Genomic DNA, 27,697 nt, shown 5'->3' with positions numbered 1-27,697 from the left:
TTGCAAGTGTTGGTGCATGTTAAGATGAAGGCAGAGCTACACTGCTCCATTCCGAAGAAGCATTTGGCCACTAACTGATAAAAGAGCCAGGATCCATGTATAAATTATTCAGAAATTTGGTAAATAAACATGCAAACTTCTAGCTGGGGCTATTGCTATTGCATTATTCAGCCCAATAAAGAGAATTTAATTTAATGGATTTTCAGCAACATTGTTCAATGATCAACAAAAGGCATACTGTCTTTTATGAATAACTGATTTTCCCGGGGCATTCTGAAGAAAGTGGGTCCTCGTTAACCCTAGAATGGCTAGCTAATGTAATTGAAGCGCGACCACCTGGCAGTGAGGTTGCCCGTCAGCTGCCAAGGAAGGCCCGGGCCGGGGAGTACCAGGTGCTCTGCTCTCGCTGTCTGATTGTTACAGTGGAATAAACAGCGTGATTGCACAGTATGGCCGGGGGCGAGAATCCAAGACTGCTGCCAACCAGAGCGCGGGCTTTCTTCCCTAGTCTTTGACAAGGGGGGCCAAAAGTGCTTCTATTCAGAGCAGGTAAAGCTGACAAAGCTCCGATGCTGTCTGCGCAATTAGGATGAAAGAAAATAAGACTGGCCCAAGAACGAACCAGCAGTGAGCCTCAAGTACCTGTTTCTGTATTGTACAAAGCCTAGGCCTATTTAATACAGGCTGGGAAGTTTAAGCATAAAAATTTAAAATAAATTCAAGAAAAAGAACTTAAATACTCAGTGACCACTGTTTCTTAGAGCAGGTCAGCATTATTATGCTTCCTGTTTTGAAGCAAAATTCCAAGTCGTCACCATACAAAAAACTTTATTTTGGCCCGAATTCCATAGTAACCCAAATACCCTGTTTCTTTGATTATACTTCATGTATTCTGGGCCAGGTCATTTTGCTTTCTCTATCTTCCTTTATAAAGCCCTACAAGCATCTATATTTAACTCACTGAAATAGTCCTCACTCTGTGGTGTTGTTTATTCTCAGTAATTTTTTTTAAGTGCTGCTGCCCGTGTGGAGATATAAAAGAAAATTAGCATTATTTGACTTGTAAAAACTTAATTAAGAAATAGACATTATGACCTAAGGGGTTTTGAATGTGAAATGGTTCATTAAGTTTTTGTTAATAGGAAAGTAAAGAGCACTTTCCCCAAACAGCAAGAACAAAATCGCTTTCTCTTAACACATTGATTTATTTCATTTGCTAAGCACAGGAACCATGAAATGCTTCATCCCATTAGCACATTAAATATGTGCAGAAGTAAAATTACAGCTGAACAGCACCTTGTACTTTGTACTCATGGTGTGTACATTTCAGTAGGCTAGGAGGAAAAAACGAACTGTAGAAAGATAATTTTATGGAATTAAATTACCTGTTTTGTATTGCTCTGAAGCTGTGCATGTAGCTGTGGATTCAGAGGGACTTGAACTGTTGCCTGCGGCTTTTCACTGGATAATCCCATCACCCTCCCCAGCCCACTCCCCCAGGATCGGTATCTATCATGGGAAAATAGAAATGAGAAAAATGTTTCCTGTTGGGTATTTAGTCTCTCTAGTGATACCTAACTGTAAAAAGTGACCAGGGGCTGGGTGTGGTCGCTCACACCTATAATCCCATCACTTGGGGAGGCTGAGGCCAGTGGATCGCTTAAGCTCTGGAGTTCGAGACCAGCCTGGGCAACATGATGAAACCCCATCTCTACAAGAAATACAGAAGTTAGCTGGGCATGGTGGTGTGCGCCTGTAGTCCCAGCTACTTGGGAGGCTGAGGTGGGAGGATCGCTTGAGCCTAGGAGGTCACGGCTGCAGTGAGTTGAGATCACACCACTGCACCCCAGCCTGGGTGAAAAAGTGAGACCCTGTCTCAAAAAAAAAAAAACTAAAACCAGGACTGCTTAGAAGGATGAATATTAGGTCTGTGGCATCTCTGTGTATTATCAGATGGCAGTCAGGGCACTTAGTAATAAATTGGGAGAGTGACTTGAGCCAAGCCAGGTCACGTCTCCTAGTCTCCGTTTCCATGCCTGGGAAAAGAGATGGTAAATAAATCCTACACGAAAAGTAATTAGTACAGGGCCTGCTAGAGACAGTGGCCTAATGAATGTGCTTTTCTTCCCCTTTTGCACATTGGGCCTTTCCCAATGAAAGGTGACCCAAAGTTTGCTCAGGAGAAACAAGAAGTCAGAAGAACAACACAATTTTACGCCTTTTTTTCTAAAGGATTTATTTCTCAGCCTCCATTTTGCATAAATAAGTACTCTGTAAGGATGAAGTAAATATATATGAATTTAGTTGTTTGGGGGGAAATACATATATATAAATAATTAGTCCGTCTTTTAGTCTGATAGCTTGAAACTCCATTTTGTTTTCAGTCAAATGTGAGAGTCTTCCTGGCAACCCCAGCTTGACCCTGTCTTTGGATCTGGAGCTAGAAACCCAGATTGGACAGTTGGCGTGCGTGCAGTCCCGAGCGCACTGCCTGGCAGCCCCGGGCCCATGCTGCCTGTGGTCCCTGGTGGCTGAGTCACCCTGATCACTGCCTCTGAGGGCTGTACCGTGAACATACCCTGGAACTTAGCAGGGACACTAAAAGGGATAAAGGGAGTCAGTCCCAAAGGCAATCTCTCAACCTTCTTTGTGCCATGGATGTCTTGCACTTCTCAGAATGTTTGTAAATGCAGAACATAAAGCATATAGGATTCCAGAGTACATCAGTTATAGTGAAATGCTTTCTAAAGCAAATGCATATATAGTAATATAGGAATGCCTTTATTCATGCATTAAATACCAAGCTCTAGTAGTAGGTCCAATAATCATTATAATTTTGAAGCAGTAATGAGCAGAATCAATATTTTGAGACACTGGTAACAATATAATGCGTCATGAAAATATCTGATTTCTACTGGTGACACAGTCACAGGTAGTATCACTGTGGTATGTTCCTATTTATAACGGAAAGAAATGTTTCATTTCAGCTAGAGGATAGGATAGTGAGAATGAAGATGTGCTTTTTTACCATCCAAGTTCAGGGACCCCTGGAATTTTGATCATCACCCAGAAGATCCCCATGGGGTCCATTGACCCATATTAAGAACCACTCTTTGCGGGATTCATAAGAACCACGGAGTCAGGATCCACTGGAACCACTGCAGTGTTGTTCCTTCAGCCAGCTAGCCTGCGAGAGTGGTTTCTGAGACTCTGTAGGTATGGGGCCTGTTCTCTGGGTGCTAGATATACCACAGTTCCTGCCCGCATGGAACTTCCATTCCAGTGGAAGAGGCTGACAGCAAGCAAGCTAGATCATGAAAATCCAGGGAAGTTAGAGCATGGTGAGTACTGAGGAGAAAAATGAAGCCAAGAAAAGGAGAATGAAGGGTCTGGATCACAGTGCCTCCTGAGAAAAGCTGGCATTTGAGCAAAGACCTGAAGGAGGTGAGGGAGGCAGCCAGACAGGGGTCTTGGAAGAGCATCCCAGGCAGAGGGCACAGCACACACACATCGTGTGTGTGAAGTGTGGGAAGGGCTCCACACCACAGAGGTGACAGCAGGGGCAGGCACCCAGTGGGGCAGGGCCTTGCCAGCCACAGTAAGGACTTCCGCTTTTCCTGTGAGGTGGGAGCCATCTGAAGGCTGAACGGAGGACGGCACCATCCCTGAAAGCCTCCTGCTGCTGGGTACAGAGGCCAGAAGAGGTAGGAGGCCACAGCCATAATCCAGGAACGAAATGACAATGGCGTGGCCTGGATGGTGGCGTGTGGTGGTGACAAGTGGTCAGGTTCTGGATTGATGGGGATTTGTGGCCAGATGAGACGTGGCATGTCAGAGGGTGCAGAGTCATGTGTGCCTCAGTGACCAGGCGGTCTTCAGGACGTTCAGAGTGGTTTGTGGTTGCCAGTCTCCTTAATTTCCCCATTTACAGGAGGTGAACTTCTGTTTGAATTAATAATGCCAACATTTATTGAGCTAACATTTATGAAATTATACATATTATGTATTCCCATGTGAACAGATGGTTTGTGTTCAGATGCCATTGTGCAGAGGAGGCCACAGGACCCAGGGAGGATGGGGACCTTGCCAAGGTCCCACCGGCAGCATTCAGAGCTCGGAGCCTCCCGTCAGTTAGTTAGCCCCGGAGCTTGGTCTCCCCGGTGCGGCTGCCATGATGGCCAATGCACAGGCTCGGATGAGGTGGCGCCCTGGCCGCCCGCCCGTGGCAGGGATTAGATCAGGCATGGCACATGAGTGTGTCTGGCAGGACGTAGTGGGCAGTCAAAATGGCAGTTTCCTGCCTCCCTCCCTTCCAGGAGCCTGGGGCTTGACGCATTGCCTCTCCCAGAACGCTACTCACCCGACTAGGCCAGGGTTTTATTCTTTTTTCTATTTAGATTACTCTTCGGCCTCCAACCTTATGGCAGCAGAGACGACAGTGTCAACACATTGAAGCCTTCGTGAGCCATCCAGTGTTTGTCTCCCCAGGGGAAGTGAGATGGCTTCCCTGGGCTGGTGTTCTATGCCTTTGTGTCCTGGCCAGGGCCCAGGACCGGCTGATGGCAGGGACACTTTGCCGTCTTACTCATGTATTGCCGTGACGCTTAAATACACTTTATCAACCACTACCAGTTTTTTCTTCATATTAGGGATGGCATTGGAAGAAGGAATAGATAAGTAACGTGTTTGAGCAAAGAAAGATCTACCCTATTAAATTGTTTTATCTGGTAGGGATGGTATTTAAATAGACTGAAATCTTTTTAGAAAACTCATGCAAAGCACATGTGTAGAGAACTTGATCTGATTTACTTGGAACATGGAAGTACTAAGGATTTCAGTAGCTCTGGTTTCTTCGTGGGGTTTTATTTGAAGGGTCCTGGAAGCACTGTATGCTGGAGGCTGCTGTATTTCCTGAGGAGCAAAGTGGCCTGAGAGAGAGGGAGCAATGTCCACAGGCAGGTCTGTGATTTAGGCAGACAGACGGGGAAATGTCTGGGGCCCAGCGGGCTTTTCCAAGTAATCTGTTACTGTCTGGTATTAGGGTTAGACCATATGAAATGCTGCTTTTGCAGGTTAAAAATCAGCAATTTTGTATGATTCAACTTGATACATAACTCACCCCATTTCAAGACTTGAGCAGCTACAGTATTTATGGGATTGTTCATTTAAACAGAACTTAGAACAATAAATTTCTAAGAATTTTTACTAATCCTGCTCACAGACTAATCTTGATTCTTGTCCATGTGAGCTCAATCCAGAGCAGTCCCTGAAAGGCCATAGATCTAGTGCAGTTCCTGCCTGTGGCAGTGTCCACAGACACATCCCAGTGTCGGGGTCCCTCGTTCCCTTCGTGAAGAGAACAGAGCCACCTCTTTTCACCACACTGGGACTCCGGGGCAGCATCAGCCTGCCTCCTTCTTTGCTAAAAATCACACTGTGCCACATCTTTATCCTGCCCCCAAGTGGAGAGACGCACATGCTCCTCCCACTTTGCTATGGCACAGCATTGTCAGCTCTGCAGCAGCCAACATTCTAGTAAGGGTGTGACCCCTGTTCCCTACTCTTCTCCTTCAGATATAATATGATTCCGTACACTTTATTCAAGAGTTCATTCTTTACTGTCCTTCCTTTTTTGCTCTGTATTAGCTGCATTTATGTAAATTTTTCTCCCCCAAATGACAGTGCCCTTAACTGTAGATGCTGTTATGCATCCTTTTCCTCAGCTGCTCCCAGCATCTAGCAGAGTACGCGCTGTCTGCCCAGGGTGGTGAACACCCTCCATCTCTGAAGTGTTGCTTCTGCCTCTGCGTCATGGACTTTAGTTCCATATTGTTGCAGCATTCGCCTGTCCCTCCCATGCCTCCCATGACCATTTTCTTCATCCAGGGCTGAGTTTAGAGCCAGGGGATCTGGCATCAACACCCAGGTGGCTGTGCAGGGCCTCCTTGAGGAAAAGGGTCTGCAGTATCCACCACTTTTAGATACCTTGCACCTCAAGCATTGGCAAACATGGCATTCAAGAATCGTAGGTGAAGAACAGAGTCCACATTGGAGCCATCTCTCTGTGATGTCCCGTCAGCTTCTGGGCATGGGGTAGGACACAGGAGAATAACTTGTAGATTTGTTTTTCATAAGTTCACTTTGAATGCCTTTCTCTAAAAGAAAACTTTTTTGAGACATGGTCTCACTGTGTTGCCCACGCTAGAGTGCAGTGGTGCAATCACAGTTCACTGCAGCCTTGACCTCCCAGGCTCAAGCGATCCTCCAGCCTCATCCTCCCAAGTAACCAAGACTACAGACATGCACCATCACACCCATCTAGTTTTTAATGTGTTAGTAGAGACGGGGTCTCATCACGTTGTCCAGACTGGCCTCAAACTCCTGGGTTCAAAATATACTCCTGCATCAGCTTCCTAAAGTGCTGGGATTACATGCATGAGCCACTGCTCCCAGCCTCTAAGAGGAATTTTAATATAGTCCTCTACCCAAACAGATGAAAGGCAATGGCAGACTGCTTTAAAACAAACACATCCCATGCAGAACGTGGTCATCTCCTCCTGGTCTTCACTTCTGAGCATTTGGCCATGCTGGTGGCCTCCGTCTGTTTTTAGTGTTAGGATATCAGAGGCTCACCTGCATCCATTTCTGGTTGTGGCTGAAACAGTCCCCTGCACAGCTCACAGGGGACTGAGAGTGTTTCTGCTTGCTTTTAAGGTGCTTTTTACAACCTTTTCCATCTCATCAGGCTTTGAACTTATTAATTTTAAAATCCAAGGCCTCGTTGCTGACTGTGGATTTTAGCTCTGCACTTTTCCCGGGACCCCCACAGAGGAACTACTGGCATTTCCCATGAGTTCCCATGAGAGGCCAGTGTGTGTGGCTATGAGCAACTTTTGTTTGGGAGAGACTAACCATGTGTATTAAAATTTGTTTTATTTTTGTCTTCATTTTGCTTTTATACACTTTATTCCTCACTGCTGGACCTTGCTAAATTACTAGAGCTTTGATTTTTCAGGGGCTTTTTCAGGCCCCCAGATGAACAAGTCATGGACTTCCCAGTACATCACCACCCCTTCTCCCTCTTCCTCCCTACTACAGAGAGCTTACAACTGCATGCCATGTCTGAGTACAAAGAACATGGCCAAAACCTTCATCTACATGGCTGTTAAGTATACTTTACTATATAAAATACATATCATGCAGTATTTTGTTATTTGATCTACTTTCTGTTCTGATAAATTTCGGAATTTCACTGATGTATACTGGATTTTGAAGTATTTTAGCACTTGTCTGTTGTGTGGTGAAGCAGAGATGCTAATCCTGGTCCTTCGTGAGCATCGTCTTCATCTCACAAAAACATCCAGACTATCTCATTTATCAGCTGACCTTGTCTCTGTGGTCCTTTGGTCAAAGGTCTTTGTGGTCCTTTTTAAGTAAGGGCTTATTTTAAATGAGCTGAGTAGGTTTGTTTGGGGAGTACTTATACTTGTTGGACCTCATCTGAGAAACATTTCAGCCTCATGAGATAAGTCAAACTGTTGGTGCAGCTTGCACAGAAAAGTACTGCGTTTTTAGGTTGCATTTGTATTGATACCTTACATCAAAGAGCTTATTCCTGTTTTCTCACAGGCTAGCAGCCTCTGGAGATATCCTGTGCCTGGCTGCAGCTTCTCCAAATCCCCTCAGCCCCTTGCAGGGTTTGAGTGCTCCTCCTAGTTTCTTTCTCTCACCTCTTTTAAGATATTGTATGAGAAGCCCCTCCCTGCCCAACCACCTTTTTGGGCTCTGGTTAAATTACTAGGTGGAACCATATGAAATTGCTAATATTGGTTTGCCTATCACCTAATCTTGAACTCGGAGCCTTAATTTCTTCAGCTATAAAGTGAGAGTAACAATACTTTCTTCATAGGATTTTGTGAGAATTATTCAAGATAATTTGGGCACACAATTGACTGGCACATAGTAGGACTGATAATTATGTCTGAATGGAGAGACAAATGGATAGAAGTGTTACTAGATGTTTGTTGGCATCACATGAAATGACCCAATGGCTTGCCACTAAATTTGCATAGTCATTCTTAAAATGCAGGCTCTTTAGAATGGGGAGAATTCACTTAGGAGATTCTTGGTGCTCACGAGTGAGCCAGATGTGCACCTCCAGACAGCTGGAGCGGAGGCTCTGCCCATGCACCAAGTGCTGCTGGGCAGTCAGATCAACCAGTCACTTTCACATGGACAGCTTGAGGGTGGACAATTGCAGAGTTGGAGTATTTAATGATAATGATGATTCTCCCTGGTAAAAAGAGGAAGCGGGCTAGTTTTAAAAAATATTCAGAAATGAGGCTATTTGGAGAGATTAGAATTCATTTTTTTTTTCAAAATCATTCTAAATAAATAAATAGTTTTTTGTTTTCCCATGTATGTATAGCATGGTGGAATGTATTTTCCAGTGTTTCCGAATATTGAAATAGTCTGCTATTTAGTCTCTCTCAAAGAATCATTAACTTTACATCAAGATGTTCTAAGGAAATGCTGTGGCTCTTGTTTTTAATTTTCTTCCACTCAGGGGGATTAGGTGGCATTACCAAGTGATTTAAAAATCCAGGTAGGTGCCTTTAATTTGTGCTGAAAAAATCCAAAAGCTCATTAAGTGACTTGCTGAAATGAATATATACGGCGCTCACCTTTGAAAAGGTTAGCACCGTCACGAGCTCAGGGAGCCACTGCTTGGTCACTCTCCACCCTGCCCTTAGTTGTTTAACCCATGGTAATCACCTGGTTTGTGACACAAGGCAGCTCCTTATAACCAGCAAAGGAGAGCCCTGGCAGCCCTCCACTACAGGCACAATGAGACAGTCACAGTCTTGGATCCGTCTCTGTAGAAAATGTACCTACGTGTTTTATTCCATAGTGGTCGGGTCATCAAGGGAAAATAAACATAGCTTCCTCTCATGAATTCTGACAGTGAAGACGATCACCAGCCTTGGAACAACGGTGGTTCCTATTTCACAGTCCTTACTGTTTCTCGCACCAACTGCTTCTTTAAAAAATTACATGACTTTAATGACCAAAATATAATTTATTATTAGTTACAAGTTAACTGATGTATAACCCATTTATCTCTCCCATTAAGTCTGTGCAAGTAATATTAGTGGATGTTTCTCATTGAAGATAGCCCCTACTTCAACTTTGCATAGAGGAAAAACCCGGGACACAGGCCTCTTGTAGACATTATGGCTGCATAGAGAGGTGCACACATGCTATAGAAGTGACATTTGGAACCATCAGATAATAATTGCATATATTTATGGGGTACAGTGTGATGTTGTGATACATGTATACATTGCAGGTTGATTAGATCAGGCTAATCAACTATTACTTCACATACTTACATTTATTTGTGGTGAGAACACTTAAAATCTGCTCCCTTTGCAATTTTGAAATCTATAATACATTATTACCTACAGTCACCATGCTTAATTTTTTTGCATATGGCCATCCTCCCATCTCAAGGATAATTTTAGAGTAATTTATTGCCAGTTTGCAAATTGTGTCATACATTTTAAAATTATATAAAGCCTGGTGCATGTTTAAGTTTTGGTTTTCTCTTGCATCATCCATTAAACCTGTCTGGTCTTTGAAATGTCCTCTACCTGCCTGGGATCCTCTCCCTCTGCCCAGAGCCACTTTCCAAGGCTGTGTCCAGGGCTTTCTGTACAGATCTCTGTGCTGTGGCACCCTTCCTTCTCCCCCCTCCAGCCTCATACCTGGCTGCCAGACTCACCACCATGCATTGTCAGCCTGCTGTCTACCCTCAGGAGCCTCCTCGCTTCCCTAACAGCAGTGTCAGTCTAGACTCCGGCCTCTCTCCAGTCCTACTTCTTAAGGAGCCCTGTGTTCCCCAGTTCTCTGGGCATGGCTTCTTGGGAAATGCCCCATGATGTTTTCCTCCTGCCTCCCCCATCACTCCTGTTCTGGCCTGTGTAGATTCCACTCAGTCTCAGAGCTACGCTTCAGGGGGACTCGCTCCACAAAGCCCCCAACCACACCAAAAGGGTATAGCCATTTCCTTCTCATGATGCCTTGCACATTTGTTCACACCACCAAGAAGCCCTGGGAAGAGTGTCCCAAAGTCATTCCTGTCATATCAGTAGTATGCTGGGAGACGATAGGGACCATGAGTTAACGTCTTTATGTCCTCCATGAACTCACAAAATAATTACTTCTGATTGAAAATATATAGAGGCATTTAAAAAGTTCTCTCGCTCATGTACTGTCCTTAACCTTTGGGGTCTACGTAGAGTATATACTGAGACCAGGTGATCCCAGTGATGTACATACGTGATGTTTCATGAAAACAGTGAGATCTTGTGTCTGCTATCAACATACAGACACAGGGAACTCCGAAAGGTAAAGGCAGTAGAGAAATACAAAGGAAATTTCTCAAGTGACATTTTTAATATTCACTGGAGATGAGTGAAAACAGTTGAAACATCAGTCTACAAAGTAAATCACCAGTATACTTGATCAGGATCAGAACCTGCTATAGGTAGAGGCAAGTTTCCATCATGTACAATGACTACTCTCCTTATCACTGGTCCCTGTGTTTCTGTTTTTAATTGAGAAAAACACTTCTCATGAAATATTCCCCCACCTGTTGGAGGAAGCATTCAGGCCATGGGACAAGGAGGTGATGTGGCCCTTTCCCATAAAGGGAAAGATCTTGCTGCCCTAGGCCTCCACAGGGCCCACAACTTTGAGCCAGATGCCTGGCCACGGTAGTCAGTGATTGAGTGGCACTGAGATCCAGGCCTGCCCTTGTGTCCCTACTCTGGAATGCCAGGGCTCTACTCCACGTTGCTGTTTTGCCAGCTGCTCCCTGTTAGGTTCCACTGACCGGGTGCCACTAGGTCCAGCAGCTGCTGCTGTGATCTTGAACAGGCACACCTGTGGCATCATTCCCCTCACTGCAGCATGGTCCTGCAGATCAGCCCTGAACCCCTCTTTCACAGATGAGGGGATGCAGGTTCTGCAGGGCAAACTAGTTGCCTGAGGTCACAGGGCCAGGACTCAGAGGAGTCTGCATCTGAACTCAGGGCTTTGACTTCAACCCTGCTATCTGTGATGACACATGAAATATCAGGCCTGAATTTCTACCTTCTTTTTTGTTCAGAGTCATTGCACAGGTGCTTCTACCCTCTTCAGGGTTTTTGAATGACACCAAGTGGCACATAATTAAAAATAAGGATTTATCAGAAATGGTTCACCCCCTTGGAAGATAGCAATGAAAGAATGACAGTTCATTCCTGTTCCTCTCAGTGTTTTGATTATGGTGCAAAAGGCCTTTACCGTGAGACGCTCTGCTCTCCAGTGTTGAAGCATGTCACGACTTCAGAAGCCACATCTGGCACCAAATTCATTCTCTCTTTGAAAATGTCCATTCAAAATAATTAAGAAAACTTTAGAATTTTGTACTGATTGTCTTCAAAATATCACTGGAAATAATTGCAGAAAGATAATTTTTTGTGTAAATGAGGTCATGTAAATTTTTCAAATCTTGCTGCATGAAGGAAAGAATCAAATTAATGTAGTTTATTCCTCTAAATTGTAGCTTCTTATGACAATTGTACAGATAATGATTTAGCTAGAAAGTCACCATTTATTCCAGATTAGCTATAAAAATGGCCAGTTTTGTGCTACTCTTGGTTCTGGGGGGAGAAAGAAGAATCTAATTTATCTATCCTTATTCTTCCTGTTAGCACCAAACAACAATGTTTGTGGATTAATTTAGCACTGAACATTGCAAGCATCTTAAATAAGTTTGAAAGATTAAACTGAGACAGCATAAGGGAGTAGGAAGAGGCCAGCATGTGTAACAGATCGCCCTGGGTTTGAGTTTCAGCCCTGCTCATTGCTAGCTGGGTGGTCTCAGAGCATCACTTTTGTTGCCTGTCTCTGCTTTATCATATGTGGTTTGAGTTTTGCAGGAGGACCCAATGGGCTCTTGGCTACAAAGAGCTTCATGAGTGGCAGCCAACTGCACCAACATTGGGTAGCTTGTTTTTATTTCATAGAGATTGTCTCTTTTATTCTAAGTGAGATGTTGCCCCAACAGAACTCAGGCTAATTATAGTGTAATCTCACTATGATGGGTTTTAGAATCCTCCAATATACTATAATACTCAGTACAACATTTGAATATTATAGGATCAAAGATTTAGAGGAGGGCTGAGATGCAAGGAAGTACTTTCCTTACATCTGAGGAGAGAATAATGGATATGTAGGAGGCACTTAGTAAATATCAGATGGAAGGGTTGGTGAGTAGATGGGTGAATGGGTGGGTGGGTGGGTGGATGGATGGATGGATGGATGGGTGGGTGGGTGAATAGATGGGTGGCAGGCACAATAATGGGAAGAAATGAGGGATTGAGAGAAGATGAACCTGGGCTCTCTGATGTGGATGGGCCACCACATTTGGGATCATGTCCAGCCTCCTGGCCTTGAGACCAGTGATACAATTCTGCCTCACATATGAATTGTGAGGATCATCTCCATGGCTCTTCAAATAAAATACAAAATGGCTCCAAAGGACATTTTCCTCATCTGGGTCATGTCTCATGCCATTAATATAAAACTGCTGATTTAATGGAGCTGCTTTTGATCTATCAAGAAAAGACGTACCGAATTCAATTTGGCTATTTTTTTTTCTAAGAGTAAGTGTCTTAATTTGCAAGAGAATGATTTGATTATAATTTTAAGTAATACTGCAGTTATATTTTTAGTCACGAAGATGATATCAAGTGACTCTATGAGGCTTAAATGTGGAAAGTCCCAGAGAATTGTGTGGGTTGGGAATTTTATCTTTAACAGCACTGGGGGCTGTTTCTGTTATTTGTATATTTTATGAGTTTAGGCAGAATAGATGGGATCTGTTACAAGGAATTTTGCATATAAAATATAAAAGCAGACAGTTTTCATTGAAGAGTAAAGTAGAATTATCCCAGAATATAAAGACATAAAAAGTTAAGATAAACACCCATCATTTTTTTCTGAAATTTTATTTTTAAAGCATGTGTTATTATGAGAGAATTTCTAATTCTGATCTCTCTTCTGACTGCAGCAGACTTTTTAACCTGAATTCCTTCTGCCTTACTCTTAAAAGTTGAAAAGATTTAGGTACTCAGAGGTACCTGCTGAAATGGAGTAGAAATGTTGAATCTGTTGTTCAAATGTCAGATTCAGGAAGGACCAAGTATCTGCTCTGCACTTGATGATATATGTTGTCCAGCTACAAAAGAAAACACCCCTTACAAAAAAAAAAAATCTTTTTTCCCTTGCACAATCCATCCTGGGCCAGATATAGTCATAGCTCAATAGAAAATTGCTTTCCTGTTACTGGCAACCTGTGCGGTCACTGGTATGACAGTGCCTCACGTCAAATTGCAAGCCGAGGGGCCACTGCAGCAGGTGCATGGTAACGGTGCCCAGGAGCACTGGAGGACATGAAGGACACACAAGGCACCCAGTGCTGTACACCACCACTTGAAACGGGGCACCAGGACCAGGGGCAGGAAGACAGCAGCCCCTGGGCTAGCCGGTCGGAGGGAGTTCTAATGAAGGGATGAGTGACAGGGGAAGAGACATCTGCATGAATAAGTGCAGGACGCAGGGCTGATGTGCTGTGCTGCAGACGCTCCCACCCCGCAAGCAGAATGGCACACAGATGGGATTTAGTGAAACTGTCACTCCCGCCTCTGCTCTAACCCACAGGGATTTCTCTCACTGGCTTGTAAGAGCCAAAAATACTTGAAATGCAAGTATTGAAGTTTAATTTGCAGGAGAAAACACAGTAAGTTTTCTTTCACCTGAAGTTGTTGGATAATAGAGTCCCAACTGGAGAGAGTGGAAGAAGGGCTACAATTTACTCCTTCAGCTTTCTATGAAAACAGCAGTGAGTAGATGGAACTGGGTCTTCTGCTAGTTTTGGCCTCACTAGTCTTTTCTCTTGTTGGGAGAATTCTGATCATAAGAGGCAGGGCCGTGACTGAGAGCCAGGCTCTCAAGTCAGGCTGCTGGTAGCATCTGAGAGAGGTGGAACAGAACACTTTTCCTCACTGCTCTTCAATTTCCTCCTCTACAAAAAAATTAGGATAGTACAAACCACAGAAGGAAGTTGTGAGGATTAAATGAGATAGAGCCTATAAAACTTCAACCCATTAAAAGCACTTGATCATTTTCATTGGCATCTTTATTTAAATGTAATCTTTGGTTGATGCAGCATCAGCAGAGGTGCCTGGCCGGGGGCTCACTTATGCTCAGGATGTAGTCTGATTCACCTGCTGCAGACGCCACACCTGAAGGGCTGTCAGAACAGGGACTTTTTCCTTTGAGGTGCATTCGTAAAAGGGCATCCCGTATGCTGTGTGTTGCTGATGATCTCTGAGATTATGTCAGTGACGATGCCTGAACTTCACACTTGAGCCCTGTTGCTTCTTAAGCCTTCCTCTAAGATCATTACAGTGTTTCCCTTCCTCACCCCTAAGCAGAAGCATCACAGGGCTGTATGACCACCTTGTGGGGTTCTCAGCCCAGTGCCCTTCAGCCAGAGACTCGTTAGCAAACAGGTGGCTTCACTACCCCACTCAAACACGTAGACCTTCATCAAGACTCATTATTTTCAACAGAGCTATATGTGTATATTTTTTTCTTTACACAGCCTAGAACCAGATTAGCAGAAGGTGTAGAACAGTACAATTGAGCCTGTTATGAAACCAGAGTAAGTCATTCCAGCAGCCCCTGGGAATTTTCATGACCAATCTTGACAGCAAACATAAAAATTTCAAACCACACTATGTAAGTCACTTATATATACTTCCTGATCATCTTTATTTTTTTTAACCTAACAGTGAACCAAATGTTAGAACAGATGTAAAAGGAGTAAAAGAGTTGCTTTTGCCCTGTGGCTGCTCAAAACTACTTTCCATAACATTAATGAGACCCATATTCTCCACGCTCATCTGGTCATTCTGGTTTGCACAGGACCAGTGTCTGTTGAGGGGCCCAGCCATGCCTACAGATGGAGCAGCTCTTCAGAGTGCTGCAGATAAAGACATGCTCCAGGGCCGTTTGTTGTGATGGCTCAACCCTTGTGTCCACTTAGTGTAGCTTCTTCCTAAGTGAGCCAGTTGCATCACATGCTGTTATTAATAGCCAGAAATCAGTTGCTTTTAATATTAACTGGCCAACATACTTTTGCTACTTCTGATCATGAGGGAGCTTTGTGTTATTAGAATTCCCCCAAATTTCCAGTGAGGTTTCAATAATTGTGGCATTATTTTTTTTGCTCTGATAGGTCTGTGGGGTGTATTGAGTTTCAAGTGTGGGTCAGCAGTAATATTTATCACTCAGGTGTGCTTTGCAACCCAGCGTACCACTCAAGCAGTCTGAATCGGCCAGGAAGGCCGCTTGGCAACCTTCACATCAGCTTCTTTCCTCATTTTGTAAGTCACTTTCATTTGGTAAACCCCTAACTTTTCTTGGAGTTTCTTCTTGACATCTGATAACTTGGTATCAGATGAATATCTTCCTGGAAAACTGAGATGCCTTTAAGCTATTAAAATTATTTCATAGAAGCATAGAAATACTATTTTCTGCTTCCAGAGGTAGTGATATTTATTATTTTAAAACGCACAGAAGAAAAAACAAATAAAGCTAAACTTTTGTAAATACCATGAAAAGGAATTATTTCCCCAAAATTGCTTTCAGAAATGAAAAACGAAGAAAATCTGTACACAACTTGGTGCAAATACTTTGGACCACAAAATTCAGTTGTGTCGTGCCTGAGCCTAGTCTGATTTCACGTGGGCCTAAGAGATTGTTTATAGGTAACAATTAAGAATGTCTCAAAGGAATGGATAACCAGAGTATCTGCTATAGATGTTTTCTTATACTTGTCAGTTTCATTTACTTGTTATCTATCGTATATCATATATCATGATCCTATTTAATTTCTAGAATCAACCTAGATATGAACTATTCTGTAGGCCAAATGAAAGTCGCTTTTGCCTTCAAAATAGAATGGTCGAAGAGTAAACATTGGATAATTCAATTCAAATTATGTTGCACTAAATAGTACCTGTAACGTATTTTATTTAATAATATTTTTTTCTCTTAGAGTCAGTGATGATAGAAACAGAGTTTACAATTCATGTGTGTTGCTCTTTAATTGTCTACTCTTTTTATACTTTGCCACAAACAGGATTTAAGACATTTAGAGGCAGTTCTGCATTTCTTCTTTTTTTTTTTTAATTATACTTTAAGTTTTAGGGTACATGTGCACAACGTGCAGATTAGTTACATATGTATATATGTGCCATGTTGGTGTGCTGCACCCATTAACTCATCATTTAACATTAGGTCAGTTCTGCATTTCTAATTATTTTCCGTTTTGTTGTCACTTCATGGATATTAAATGCCCCAAAAATGTCAGCAGTGGTCCTTTCTATATTAAGGTTGGGAGTACATTTTTTAGCTTCTAACATATGATGTCTTTAGGACGAGTGAAAATCTGTGAAAGAGAAACACGGTTCAAGTGACATTGACTCCCTTCCTCCCAGAAATCAAGTTATTGGCGTCAGCATGGCAGAACTCAGGGCTTCTATTGTTCATATTGATTCGTCACTTTTTCTGTCGTTTTCATCATTGAAGTAGCCTGTTGAATCTTTTCTCACTCAATTTGACAGCACTTTCTCTAGACTTGAAATAGGCTGAATGACGAATTTTCTTGTCACTTACATTTTTACTGATGTGAGACTTTGAGCGACGGTGTCACGGGGCATTTTCTCACTTGGTGATTTGCAGAAGGTGAGGTGCACTGGGAGAATTGGAGAAGATGGAAATGGAAAATGCTATAATTAAGGATGTGCTCCTTCACAAATCAATCCCCTGGGAAGAACTGATTTGAACATTTCTAATAACAGCATAGTCCAAATCCGTTGCATGTGTGGAGCGCCTCGGATTCTAGGAGGGAGACCTTCAGCTCCCTATGCCGGAAGGACATAGGAATATGAGAACAGACCATCTCCAAAAGTCTGTAATTTAATAGCCTGAAGAAAATCTTTTTCTCATTTCCATTTGCTCTTATCATTTCCTCAGAATTATTCTTAAACTTGGTTATATGGTATTTTCTTCTTTTTGAGCAGTAGTGGACTGTTTCTCTCCAGGAGTGTATCATTAGGGTTTGAAACTTAATCTAATATCTTATACCTCCATGTGTTTAATTTCCTTTTCCAAAACATCCATTTTATTTGGTTACATTGTTGAGTAAAGTCATCCTCTTTACCTGTTACCAGGCTGTGACATTTACTTTCAATGATTCATTTATTTGTGGCCTTAAACAGTCCTAGAATTTAAATTTACATTATATTGAAAGAGAGATAAAATCTTGTGAAAATGATGTATGGCTTTAGGATGTAACTGGCATCTGTTCCTGTCTTGCTCATTATGGAATTTTATCCATTTGTTTAGTTATTAAATGCGACCTGAGCCCACCTGTGGAGCATGTGCCTTTGAGGCAGGTACCAGGGAAGTGCATGGGAGCTGAGGCTCTGCAGGAACCCTGCTGCTCCTCCTTCCAGATGCTTCTCCCTAGGATCTGGGAAATGGCTGTCTCCCGCTCCCTCCATATCCCTTGACTGTTCTTTCACTTCTGCCCACCCTCTGGTGGGGGTGGGGGTGGTTCCCTAACATTGCATTCTCCCCTTTTCTCCTTCAAGCTCATCTCCAAACCCATGACTCAGCTCTTCAGCTCTGGCCAGGCCTCTCTGCTGAGTCCCAGTCAGCACTTCCCTGAAGTTGTCCCCCAGGAATCCCTTGGGCTCTTCAGACTCCTCCACTCAACCCTGCCCTCCTCCTCAGGTCCCTTTTTGTCCCACCCTCCTGGTCACTTACACCTTGATCCCAGGGTTATGTCCAGAATCCATCTCCATCTCTTACCATTGGTGAGCACCCCAAGTCCAGCTGGGTCTGCCCTGCATTGTGCCGCTTCCTCCCCTGCATTGTCTCCCTGCCCCATTATCTCTCAGGCATAGATCAGGTCCTGCTGTTCATCTGTTTTAAAACCTTCGGAGATTCCAAGTTGCCACAGGCTGGTGTTGCTTCTTCCCTTCTGTAACCAGCCCATTGCAGTCTGACGAAGACCCACTCCTCATTCCCATGAATCGCTCCACCCACCAGCTTCCTAGAGCTCGTTGTCCACTTGTCTTTCCATATAAGCTGTGAATGCTGTGAAGGACAAGACTATGTCTTTTTCATCCTCCAGCTGCTAGAACAGTCGCGGCACATGGTCTTCTGCTCTTCCTGTGTCTTCCATGCTTAAATGATTCAGCCACTATCTGCCTGGAGGGCTTTTGCTGTGCCAGGCCATCCTGCCATTTGTTCTCTCATGTGTTCAGTGAAGATCTTTTTATTAGCAGGCCTTCCTCACAGTACATAGTGTGCACTGCGTACCACTAGGCATTTTGGGGGGCATTTTTTTTTTGAGACAGGGTCTCATTCTGTCGCCCAGACTGGAGTGCAATGCCATGATCAGAACTCACTGCAGCCTCAACTTCCCAGGCTCAAGCGATCCTCTCACCTCAGCCTCCTGACCAGCTGGAACCACAGGCACGTGCCATTAGAGACAGGGTCTCACTATGTTGCCCAGGCTAGTCTCAAACTCCTGGCCCCAAGCGATTTTCCCACCTTAGTCTCCAAAGTGCTGGGGATTACAGGGGTGAGCCATTGCACCCAGCCTGGGGGCATTTATTTTATTGAGATATAATTCACAGACCATAGCGTTCACCCTTTTAAAATGTATAATACAATGGTTTTTTGTATATTCACTGAGTTATGCAACCATTGCCACTTCCAATTCCACAACATTTTTATCACCCCAAAAAGAAACTGAATGCCCATTAACTGTCATGCCACATTCTCCCCTGCCTCTGGCCCCAAGCAGCCACTGATTTCCTTTCTGTCTGTATTAATTTGCTTATTCTGGACATTTATATTAATGAAGTCCCACGATATATGGGCTTTGGCATCTGACTTCTTTCACTTAGCATAGTGTTTGCAAAGTCCATCCGTGTCACAGCAGGTATCAATACTTCATTCCTTTTTATGGCTGAATAATATTTTATTATATGTTATATTACATTTTGTTTATCCATTCATCAGTTTGCAGGCAAGGGGGTTGTTTCTGGTTTTTGGCTGTAAATAATAATGCTCCTATGAACATTTGTTGGCAAGTTTTTATGTGAACATATATTTTCAGTTCTCTTGGGTATTGAACTTCTAGGAGTAGAATTGCTGGATAATATGTTAACTTTTTGAGGAACTGCCAAACTGTTTTCCACAGTGGCTGCACTTTGTTTGTTTGTTTGTTTGTTTGTTTATTTTTGAGACAGAGTTTCGCTCTTGTTGCCCAGGCTGGAATGCAATGGTGTGATCTTGGCTCACTGCAACCTCCGCCTCCCGGGTTCAAGCAATTCTCCTGCCTCAGCCTCCCGAGTAGCTGGGGTTACAGGCATGGACCATCACACCCAGCTAATTTTGTATTTTTAGTAGAGACAGGGTTTCTCCACGTTGGTCAGGCTGGTCTCGAACTCCTGACCTCAGGTGATCCGCCCACCTCAGCCTTCCAAAGTGCTGGGATTACAGGCGTGAGCCACTGCGCCTGGCCTGTGGCCACACTTTATATTCCTACCAGCAAGGTATGAGGATTCCAATTTCTCCACATCTTCTCATCGTCCTCACTGGTTATTACTGTCGCTTGTCCTTTTGATTATAGTCATCCTAGTAGACGTGAGGTCGTATCTTATTATAGTTTTCATTTCCATTTCCCTAATGACTTGTGGTGTTGAGCATCTTTTCATGTGTTTACTGGCCATTTACATATCTTCTTTGGATAAATGTCTATGCACATCCATCCCTTGCCCATTTTTAAACTTGGTTGTCTTTATTGTTGATCTGTGAGAGTTCTTTATATATTTGAGATACAAGATCCTTATCACTTAAATGGTTTGCAGATGTTTTCTCCTATTCTGTGTGTTGCCTCTTCACTTTCTTTCATCACTACTCAAAACATTGCTCAAAAATGAAAACGTGTTATTTTCTTGTGCATCCTCTATACCAAAAGCGGCCAGTAGTGGGGAGCAGCAGAAGAAATCAGCTAATTAATTTCCTAGTTTTGTAAAATATTCTTAGCCATTCCTTCTCTGAGCTCAGACTCTGCCACAGTAGGGTCTTTTTTTTACTAGGTTTAAAACGCATCCGTGGGTGTATTTCACACATTCGAAACAGGGTACTATTCCTCAATCCACAGCTGCTGTTAACTCATCTCATTTTTATAAGTATCTGTGAGCCCAGTATCTGTCCTGTGGGAGGGTCGTGCCTGCCTCCTTGTGTGTAGTGCCTCATTCTCTGCCTCACCGGAGAGCCTGCTTCTGCTCCATTTCCTCTTCCCTCCACGCCAGGGTGTGTGTGTCACCCAGCATGGCCCTCTCTCTGCCATGCCATAGTCCTTCCTGGTTATGCTTAAGGTCATTCTCAGAAGTTCTGGTCATTTCAAGCCTGCAAGTAGCATTCTTACCTCTTCCACATGCCCAAAAGTTGTATGTCATCCACTTCTGAAAAATGCAAAGAATAAGTAAGGTATTGAAATATTTGGACAAGCCCATTGATTGAACGTATAGATGCCAGTCAGCCTTGACCTCTTCCAAACTAGAGGACACTCAGGACCCTCCTTAGTGGTGCAGTTCCTCTAAGGGCAATATAGCAACTTAAGTGACATCATGTTGCTTCCTTGCCTCAAGCCATTCGGGCCTCCTGTGCCCAGGCCCAGCTTGTCTTTCAGCTGCACCTCCTGCCACCCTCTTACTACCCCATGACTCCAGTCTCCTTTCTCCTCCTGAAGTATCCCAACTTCCTTCCCGCTCATGGCATTCTCTGTGCCCGAACTGCTCTTACACTCCTTACCCCACTTCATCCCTGCTTGGTTAGCTGCTTCCCTCCCATCAGAGACTTCTTTGAGCTTATCTCCCTCTTTCCTTCCTGGTACTGACATAATGACAGTTTGCCTTATTCCCTGGACTTGTCCTTTAACTAGTGTTCGGTCTGCCTCCCTGCTAGAATGCAGGATTGCTGGTGGCAGGAGCGACATCTATCTTGTTCCTTGATTACATGCCCATTACCTAGCACAGGGGGGCACTCAATACATATCTCTTGAATGGATGAGCGCTTGAATGAAGGTGGATTTGCTTTTTGAAAATAGCACAGCCACTTGAGATCCAGTTCTCTGAGCAGACTAGGATAATGTATAGAAATCTATGCTTAAGCCTATGAATATATGTAGTATTCTGACCATTCTCAGATTCAGCTGGTTTTGTCATTCTTAATGCATAGTAATTCTAACAACAGTAATTTTGTAGAAATACATTTTTATTTTTTGGAGCATTATCCCCCTCCCCTACAGGTGGCATTCGTATCCATGTTTGATTTGAGCTTTTTGAATCCCTTCTGTCAGAGTTCCCCACAACTTTCTGAAAATTTTGAGCTCTGACATTCTGGTCTATTTCTGAAATGAAATCCCTAAAAATAGTACTGTCTCTTTTCTGCTTTCTCTGTGTCTGAGTCAAATGGACTTCTTTGTGATCATCGTCAACTCTAACACCCAAACATAGACCTTTTATATCAACCTTCGACTTGAAGCTCATTCTGTCCTTCTGATGGGTGAGAAAAGATTCATTTGATTAGTGCTGTTTCATTCTGGCCAAATTGCCCATTTTTATTATGAAATATTTATATAGACTAGAAGACATGTCATTTACATACGTTCTAAGGAACACTAAAACACGTCCCGGTACTGACACCCACTTGCACCAGCCAATATATTTCAGAACCTCCCAGGTACAACCCCTCCACACCCCAGAGGTAATCCCAGGTTATTATTTCCTTGCTCTTTATCATTTCCTACATATGTGTGTAGCCCTAAGCAATATGTTTCACTTAACCTGTTTTTAAAATATATATAGGCCAGGTAAGGTGGCTTAGGCCTGTAATCCCAGCACTCTGGGAGGCTGAGGTGGAAGGATCACTTGAGGCCAGGAGTTCAAGACCAGCCTAGGCAACATAGCGAGACCTCATTGCTAGAAAATATTTTAAAAATTAGCCAGGCATGGTGACGCATGTCTGTAGTCCCAGCTACTTGGGAGGCTGAGGTGGGAGGATTGCTTGAGTCCAGGACTTCAAGGTGGCAGTAAGCTATGATGGCTCCACTGCACTCCATACTAGGTGACACAGTGAGACCCTGTCTATAAATAAATAAATAAATAATGTATAGCAATAGAATTGCACTCAATGTGTCCTTCGGTGACTGGCTTTTTTGGTTGAGCATGGTTTTCAGTTTTATCCTTATTAATACACATGCCTATAGTTCATTTATTTTCACTGCTATATAATATCCCATTGTGTGACTGCATTTATCCATGAATGTTAAAAATAGTTTCCTTTTCCTTTTTTGCTGTTGCCTGTAACATGTTATAATCATTCTGAACCAAGCACATATGTACCAGAGCTCATATACTGAGGAGCGGAATTGCCAGCCTGCAAGCACGCACGTCTGTTCTTCCCTGGATAAGGTCAGATTGCTCTCCCAAGAAGCCAGGCCAGTTCCTCCCAGCAGCAGGTTCTTGGGGCTCCTGTGACCCATGTCCTGTCTGACATTTGGCATTATTACATATTCTGTGTTTGGCCACTCTGGGATATATAAGATGGTATTTTGTTGTAATTCTCATAATCCCTGATCATTAATGGTACTGAGCAACTTAATTGCCAGTCATGGTTTATCTCTTGGTTGCCCATCTTTCTAGTAGGTTATTTGACTTTCTCTTATGGATTTGCTCGGCGTTCTTCTTATATTCTGGCACCTACCCCTTGCCAGCTCTGAGTCGCAGATGCTTCCTCCCACGTTGTGCCTAGTAGTTCTACCTTCTTTACAGTATTGTGGTAAACAGGAGCTCTTACTTTGAATGTGGTCAGATGTACCAGTCTCTTCTCCCTGTGGTTCATGTTTTGGTTTCTTAAGAGATTTTCCATACCCCAAGGTCATAAAGAGTTTGCCCCCATACATTCCTCTAAAAGTTTTTATCACGCAGTTTTCTAAATCTGTGTATAATTTTACTTCAAATTGAACTCTCTAACCTCTCCTTACAAGTTGCTATTGCCTAGAATATATCTAGCTGTCTCATAGCTTAAAGCAATGGACACGAATTTCAGGCCTTCATTTATTCATTCAGTAAATATTATGTGGGGTGCTTTTAAGCTAGATTGTATGAGTGACGTAAGAGAATAAATTTCTCTTGACATAAATTTGATGAACCTGACTCATATGGTGTCCTCAAGGAGTTTATTGAAGTAAACCATGGTCCCAAAAAACCATATGTCTGTGTCCCAGTTCCTGGAACCTGTGAATGTTAACTATTTGACTCAAGGCTGTGTGCTGATATAAGTTAAGGATCTTGAAATGAGGAGATCATTCTGGGTTATCCAGGAGAGCAGTAAATCCAGTGAGGAGTGTCCTTTATGAGAGACACATAGAATAGGAAGAGGCCATGTAGCCATGGAAGCAAAGAGGAGAGTCATGCAGCCCCGTGAATGCAGACAGCCACCTGGAACTGGAAGAAGCATGAACAAAATCTCTCCTGCAGCCTCTGCTGTCGTCTTGATTTTGGACCTGTGGCCTCCCAAAACTAGTGAGAGAATAAATTTCTGTTGTTTTAAGCCACCCAGTTGGTGGTCATTTCCAGCAGCCACAGAAAACTAACATAAGGAGGCTTAAGATGGTCATACGTGGTAGCTATTTAGCCAGAGGTTTTCAACCTTTTACACACCCTAATGTACTCAAGGGATGGAACAGTGGCAGCAGAACTCGGGGGCGCCAGAACTTTTGAGAGGGATGCGTGGATGGCTGAAGCGTCCCAGGTGGTTCTGAAACATGACATTCCCTCCTCTGCAGATCACTGCCATGGGAGTTAGAGTCATGAGAATGGCTAGCTCTGGGCTTGCTTGTGCCAGTGATTAGAGGCTGCATGAGTTCAGAAAGAAAACTGAGGTGGGTACGCAAACTGTTACAGCACACACACACTGATGTCAGGAGGCTGCCTGTGTCCGGGGCCACTTTGCCAGTCTGAGCGTCATGTCCACTCTTGGGAAATTTAGAGAAGGTTCAGGCAAGAAGGGTTTCAAGGGTTGAAAAAATACAGTCTGCAACATAGCCTCTTACAGACAGTTCTCTTTATTTCTTTGATAAAAGAAGCTTGATAGTGCTAAACAACAGTCAACAAACACATAGCCCGAATGAGTAAAAAGAAATTAAAATGGAATAATTGTTGTTTTGTTGTATTTTATAAAGTCAGCATGATCTGGGTATAGATGCAGCTTACACATACGCACTCAGGTTTACGTTGCGGGTTGGTTATTATAGCTCACGTATATTTAAGTCAGTTGATTTGTCTCATTTGGAGTTTAGTTCCCATCCTCACACATGATCTTGAACTTAACACCATTTATTCTAGAATTCAAGATATTAGATGAAAGCAGTAAAGGTTAGAGGACCTGGGCTGTAGCCTTAATTCCATTACTGTGTGACTGTGATTCAAGAAAATTTCTTGAACTCTCTGAGCTCTCATTACCTGATCAGTAAAATGGAGACCACAGGACTTCCCTGCTCATGAGGGTGTAGCCTAAAGGGGGTTTGCTTGCCATGGAGCCTGACACAGAACTCTCCTCCAGCTTACCTACTACATTCTTTCTGCAACAAAACCCTAGGCCCACATGGTAGAGGCAGGGAGGAGTCAATCCAGATTTATCATGCTTTTCTTTTTGTGCTGGAACCCAGGTAGATGCTTCATATATAGGATTCTATTTAATCTTCCCAGCCGTCCTGAGAACAGGCGTTGTTGTCCCCATTTTACATTTAGTAGGACAACTGAGGCTGGAGTCGGAACCACTTGCCTCAGCTGTCTCACATGTAAAATGGGGACATCAACACCTAGCAGGGAAAAGGGCAGCTGAGATTCAAACCCTGCCTTCCTTCCACCAAAATACAAGCTCCTTCCTGACTGTCATGCTGCTACTGTCATTTCTAAAACCTAAAACAAACAATAATGAGAGTAAAGTTGGGGGACAGGTTCAGATTCTCAGATTCTTACAGCTCTGCAGATTCAGCAGGGTGTGTCTTGAGAGTCTCGAGAAGTTCTCTTGGAAATTTTTGATAAAATGTAACCAGTAAAGGCGTATAACCTCTTTAGTAAAGTAGAGGAATATTATCCATTTTTTTATTTTTTATTCTAGAGACAGAATCTTGCTATGTTGCCCAGGCTGGACTCAAACTCTTGGGCTCAAGTGATCCTCCCACCTCAGCCTCCTGAGTCACTGGGACTACAGGCCTGTCTCTTAATCAAAATTCTTGATAAAAATTCATATGTGAAAATGTGAACAGAATGAGTGGCTAAAGAAACTGAGAAATGTCCAGAAGCCAAGATGGGTTTCTGGTCAGTAATTTGAATGTTCCCTGAATTGAGTAATCCAGGGGAAAACTGCTCTTTAAAAAAGTACTTTGTTGTGTGTGGCTTTTCATGAGATAATAATTCAGAACAGAATTAAAAGTTACACATTTGTTAGTAAACTTTTTAAGGGAACAAAAGGGCCATGGCTAGTATTGAAACAGGGATCGGATTGGTGACCTGGTGCCTCTTTCAGTGAAAGGTCTTTGACCGTCCAGGGATCAGCATTATTTCAGCATTCACTTAACATTTTAACATGTCTTACATGTGAAAAGCTTACAAGCATTTTGATGTCTAGATTATAAATGCCCTTTGTTATAGAAAGCAACCAGCATTGAAGCCCTAAGGATATTAGATAAGAAAATGTCAGATGATACTGCTCCAAATTGCCCTTGCAATTAATTCAGTTAAGATCCCAGCGCTGTGTTTTTTATGGCTACTAAAAGAAATGATTTTTGGCACCCACAAGCTCCTTGGCTGTTTCTAAACGCTGCCAGAGCTAAGGGGATATTTGTTTTCTCTTTGTCAGGGTGTTTACATGCCCTGGCTTGGGCCATGAGCGAAAATGTATTTGATGATCTCCTGGTCTCACCCCAATCCCTAATGGATGTTTGTCTAAATGACAGCACCCAGTTTAGCACTGTTAACACTCCAGTTAGTGGGCGGGAGAGTGTGGGCTGTGTGTGACAGTCGGGGGCATGCATGGCAGGGTCAGGAACCTTCTATGAAGGAAACACTTGCTCCTCCAGGATCCAGTTCTGGAAGCACCTTTATGTTTTCTGTCTCCTACTGCCTTAATTTAGGAGTCAGACCATAAATATTCATTGAATCAGAGAATCTCACAACTTCATTATTACTCCTCTAAATATAGTGCTGGACTTCCTCTAAGGTGCCCAGATCTCTCAGCCTTGACAAGGACAAGCTTATGACAAGAACAAGCTTATGATAGTGCCATCCAGGATTGGGACGGTGGGCTGCCGTCTGGGGTCAGTTCATCTGGTATTATGCAAAACGTCCCTTTGTAGGTTTGATCATGAGCTTGATTAACATAGCCAGCCACTTTCCAGATACGTGGCTTCCGCAGAGTAGTTAGCAAAATGCGCACGCATTTCCTTTTTGTTCACCATTGTCCCAAGCACTGTATGTGGATGTGTTGGACGCAGTGGGGCCTTTGAGGAAACAGCAGGACGATGCTAGGCAGAGCATGACAGGTCTTTAGAGGGACGTGCTTGCTCTAACCCAGGCCCACAAGCAGACGATGGACTGAAAGGGGGAGCCATGAATTGAGCGTTGACAGCGGGCCACGGCGGTCCAAAGGCTCAGGTGGTTGTCAGCCATAAGTTTAGCTCAGCTCTTTGAGTAATTTGTCACGCCTCGCTCAGCCCCTGCTGGGCCAGCACGTGCCAGCTTAGTGTCAGAGTGCCTGTTCGCCAGACGGCCACTCAGGCCTAACGTCCTGCTGTTCCCCGGACCAGCGGCTTGCTGGGGCCATGCACGGAGGGCCGAGCCGTGGCGACAGCCAAGTGCTGTGCAGAATAAGTGTGTTCATAATGAGACGTGAATGGCATTAGTGGGTCCCTCTAGAATTGGGCCTGAGCAGGCGCCTCTCGCTGAGGAAGTTTGGCAGCCTGTTCATTAAGGCGAGTCACCAGGAGTTCAGCCCACAGTCAAGAAGCCAGTTCAGGCTCATGCTGCCCAGGCCTTGGGCGGTTGTGCCCATCTATATAAAAGATCATAAATCATTAGAGGGGCCACTTTGGAAATCTTCAAACACATTTTCCTTGCTTGAGGTTGTATAGAACAAACTTACGGAGAAATTCTGGCAGCACGCTGTCCAGTAGTGCTTTCCACGGTGACAGGCACATCCTGTATCTGTGCGATCCAGTATAGAACCCCTAGCCACGTGCGGCTATTGAGTGCTTAAAATATAGCAAGGTGGGGGGAGGGGCAAAGCAACTGAATTTTAGCTCTTTACTTTAATTAATTCAGATTTAAAATGAGATATCCACGTGTGGCTTGTGGCTACTGTATGGGATAGCACAGCCCTAGAATGCCTCTGGTCTCCTCACGGTATGAAAATTATCCTCTGAATATAA

The 27,697-nt window shown here is 43.5% G+C and overlaps 1 protein-coding gene across 14 annotated transcripts in view, besides 1 other annotated feature; it reads left to right on the top strand.

The window, feature by feature from the left end:
* The window catches only part of RALGAPA2 (Ral GTPase activating protein catalytic subunit alpha 2), a 323,115-nt gene that overhangs the window by 271,536 nt on the left and 23,882 nt on the right, over nt 1–27,697 (top strand). Inside the window, exon 39 of one of the 14 annotated variants that reach the window (XM_047440320.1) lies at nt 8–17,430. The exons of the other annotated variants lie outside the window; for them this stretch is intronic. The gene's annotated coding sequence lies outside the window, so the exon portion shown is untranslated. Of the gene's footprint in view, nt 1–7; nt 17,431–27,697 lie in introns of those variants that run through there. 14 annotated transcript variants of the gene reach the window in all.
* Nucleotides 14,561–14,720: an enhancer, noted in NCBI's record as "active region_17608". NCBI's record gives its function as "activates an Ori minimal core promoter by ATAC-STARR-seq in GM12878 lymphoblastoid cells {active_cell/tissue: GM12878}" and the evidence as "EXISTENCE:reporter gene assay evidence [ECO:0000049][PMID:35858748]".

This window comes from Homo sapiens, chromosome 20 (genome assembly GCF_000001405.40).
Source record: "Homo sapiens chromosome 20, GRCh38.p14 Primary Assembly".
In the NCBI taxonomy this organism is placed as follows: domain Eukaryota; kingdom Metazoa; phylum Chordata; class Mammalia; order Primates; family Hominidae; genus Homo; species Homo sapiens.
The sequence above is the reverse complement of the archived record's forward strand: the minus strand, read 5'-3'. Positions and strand labels throughout refer to the sequence as shown.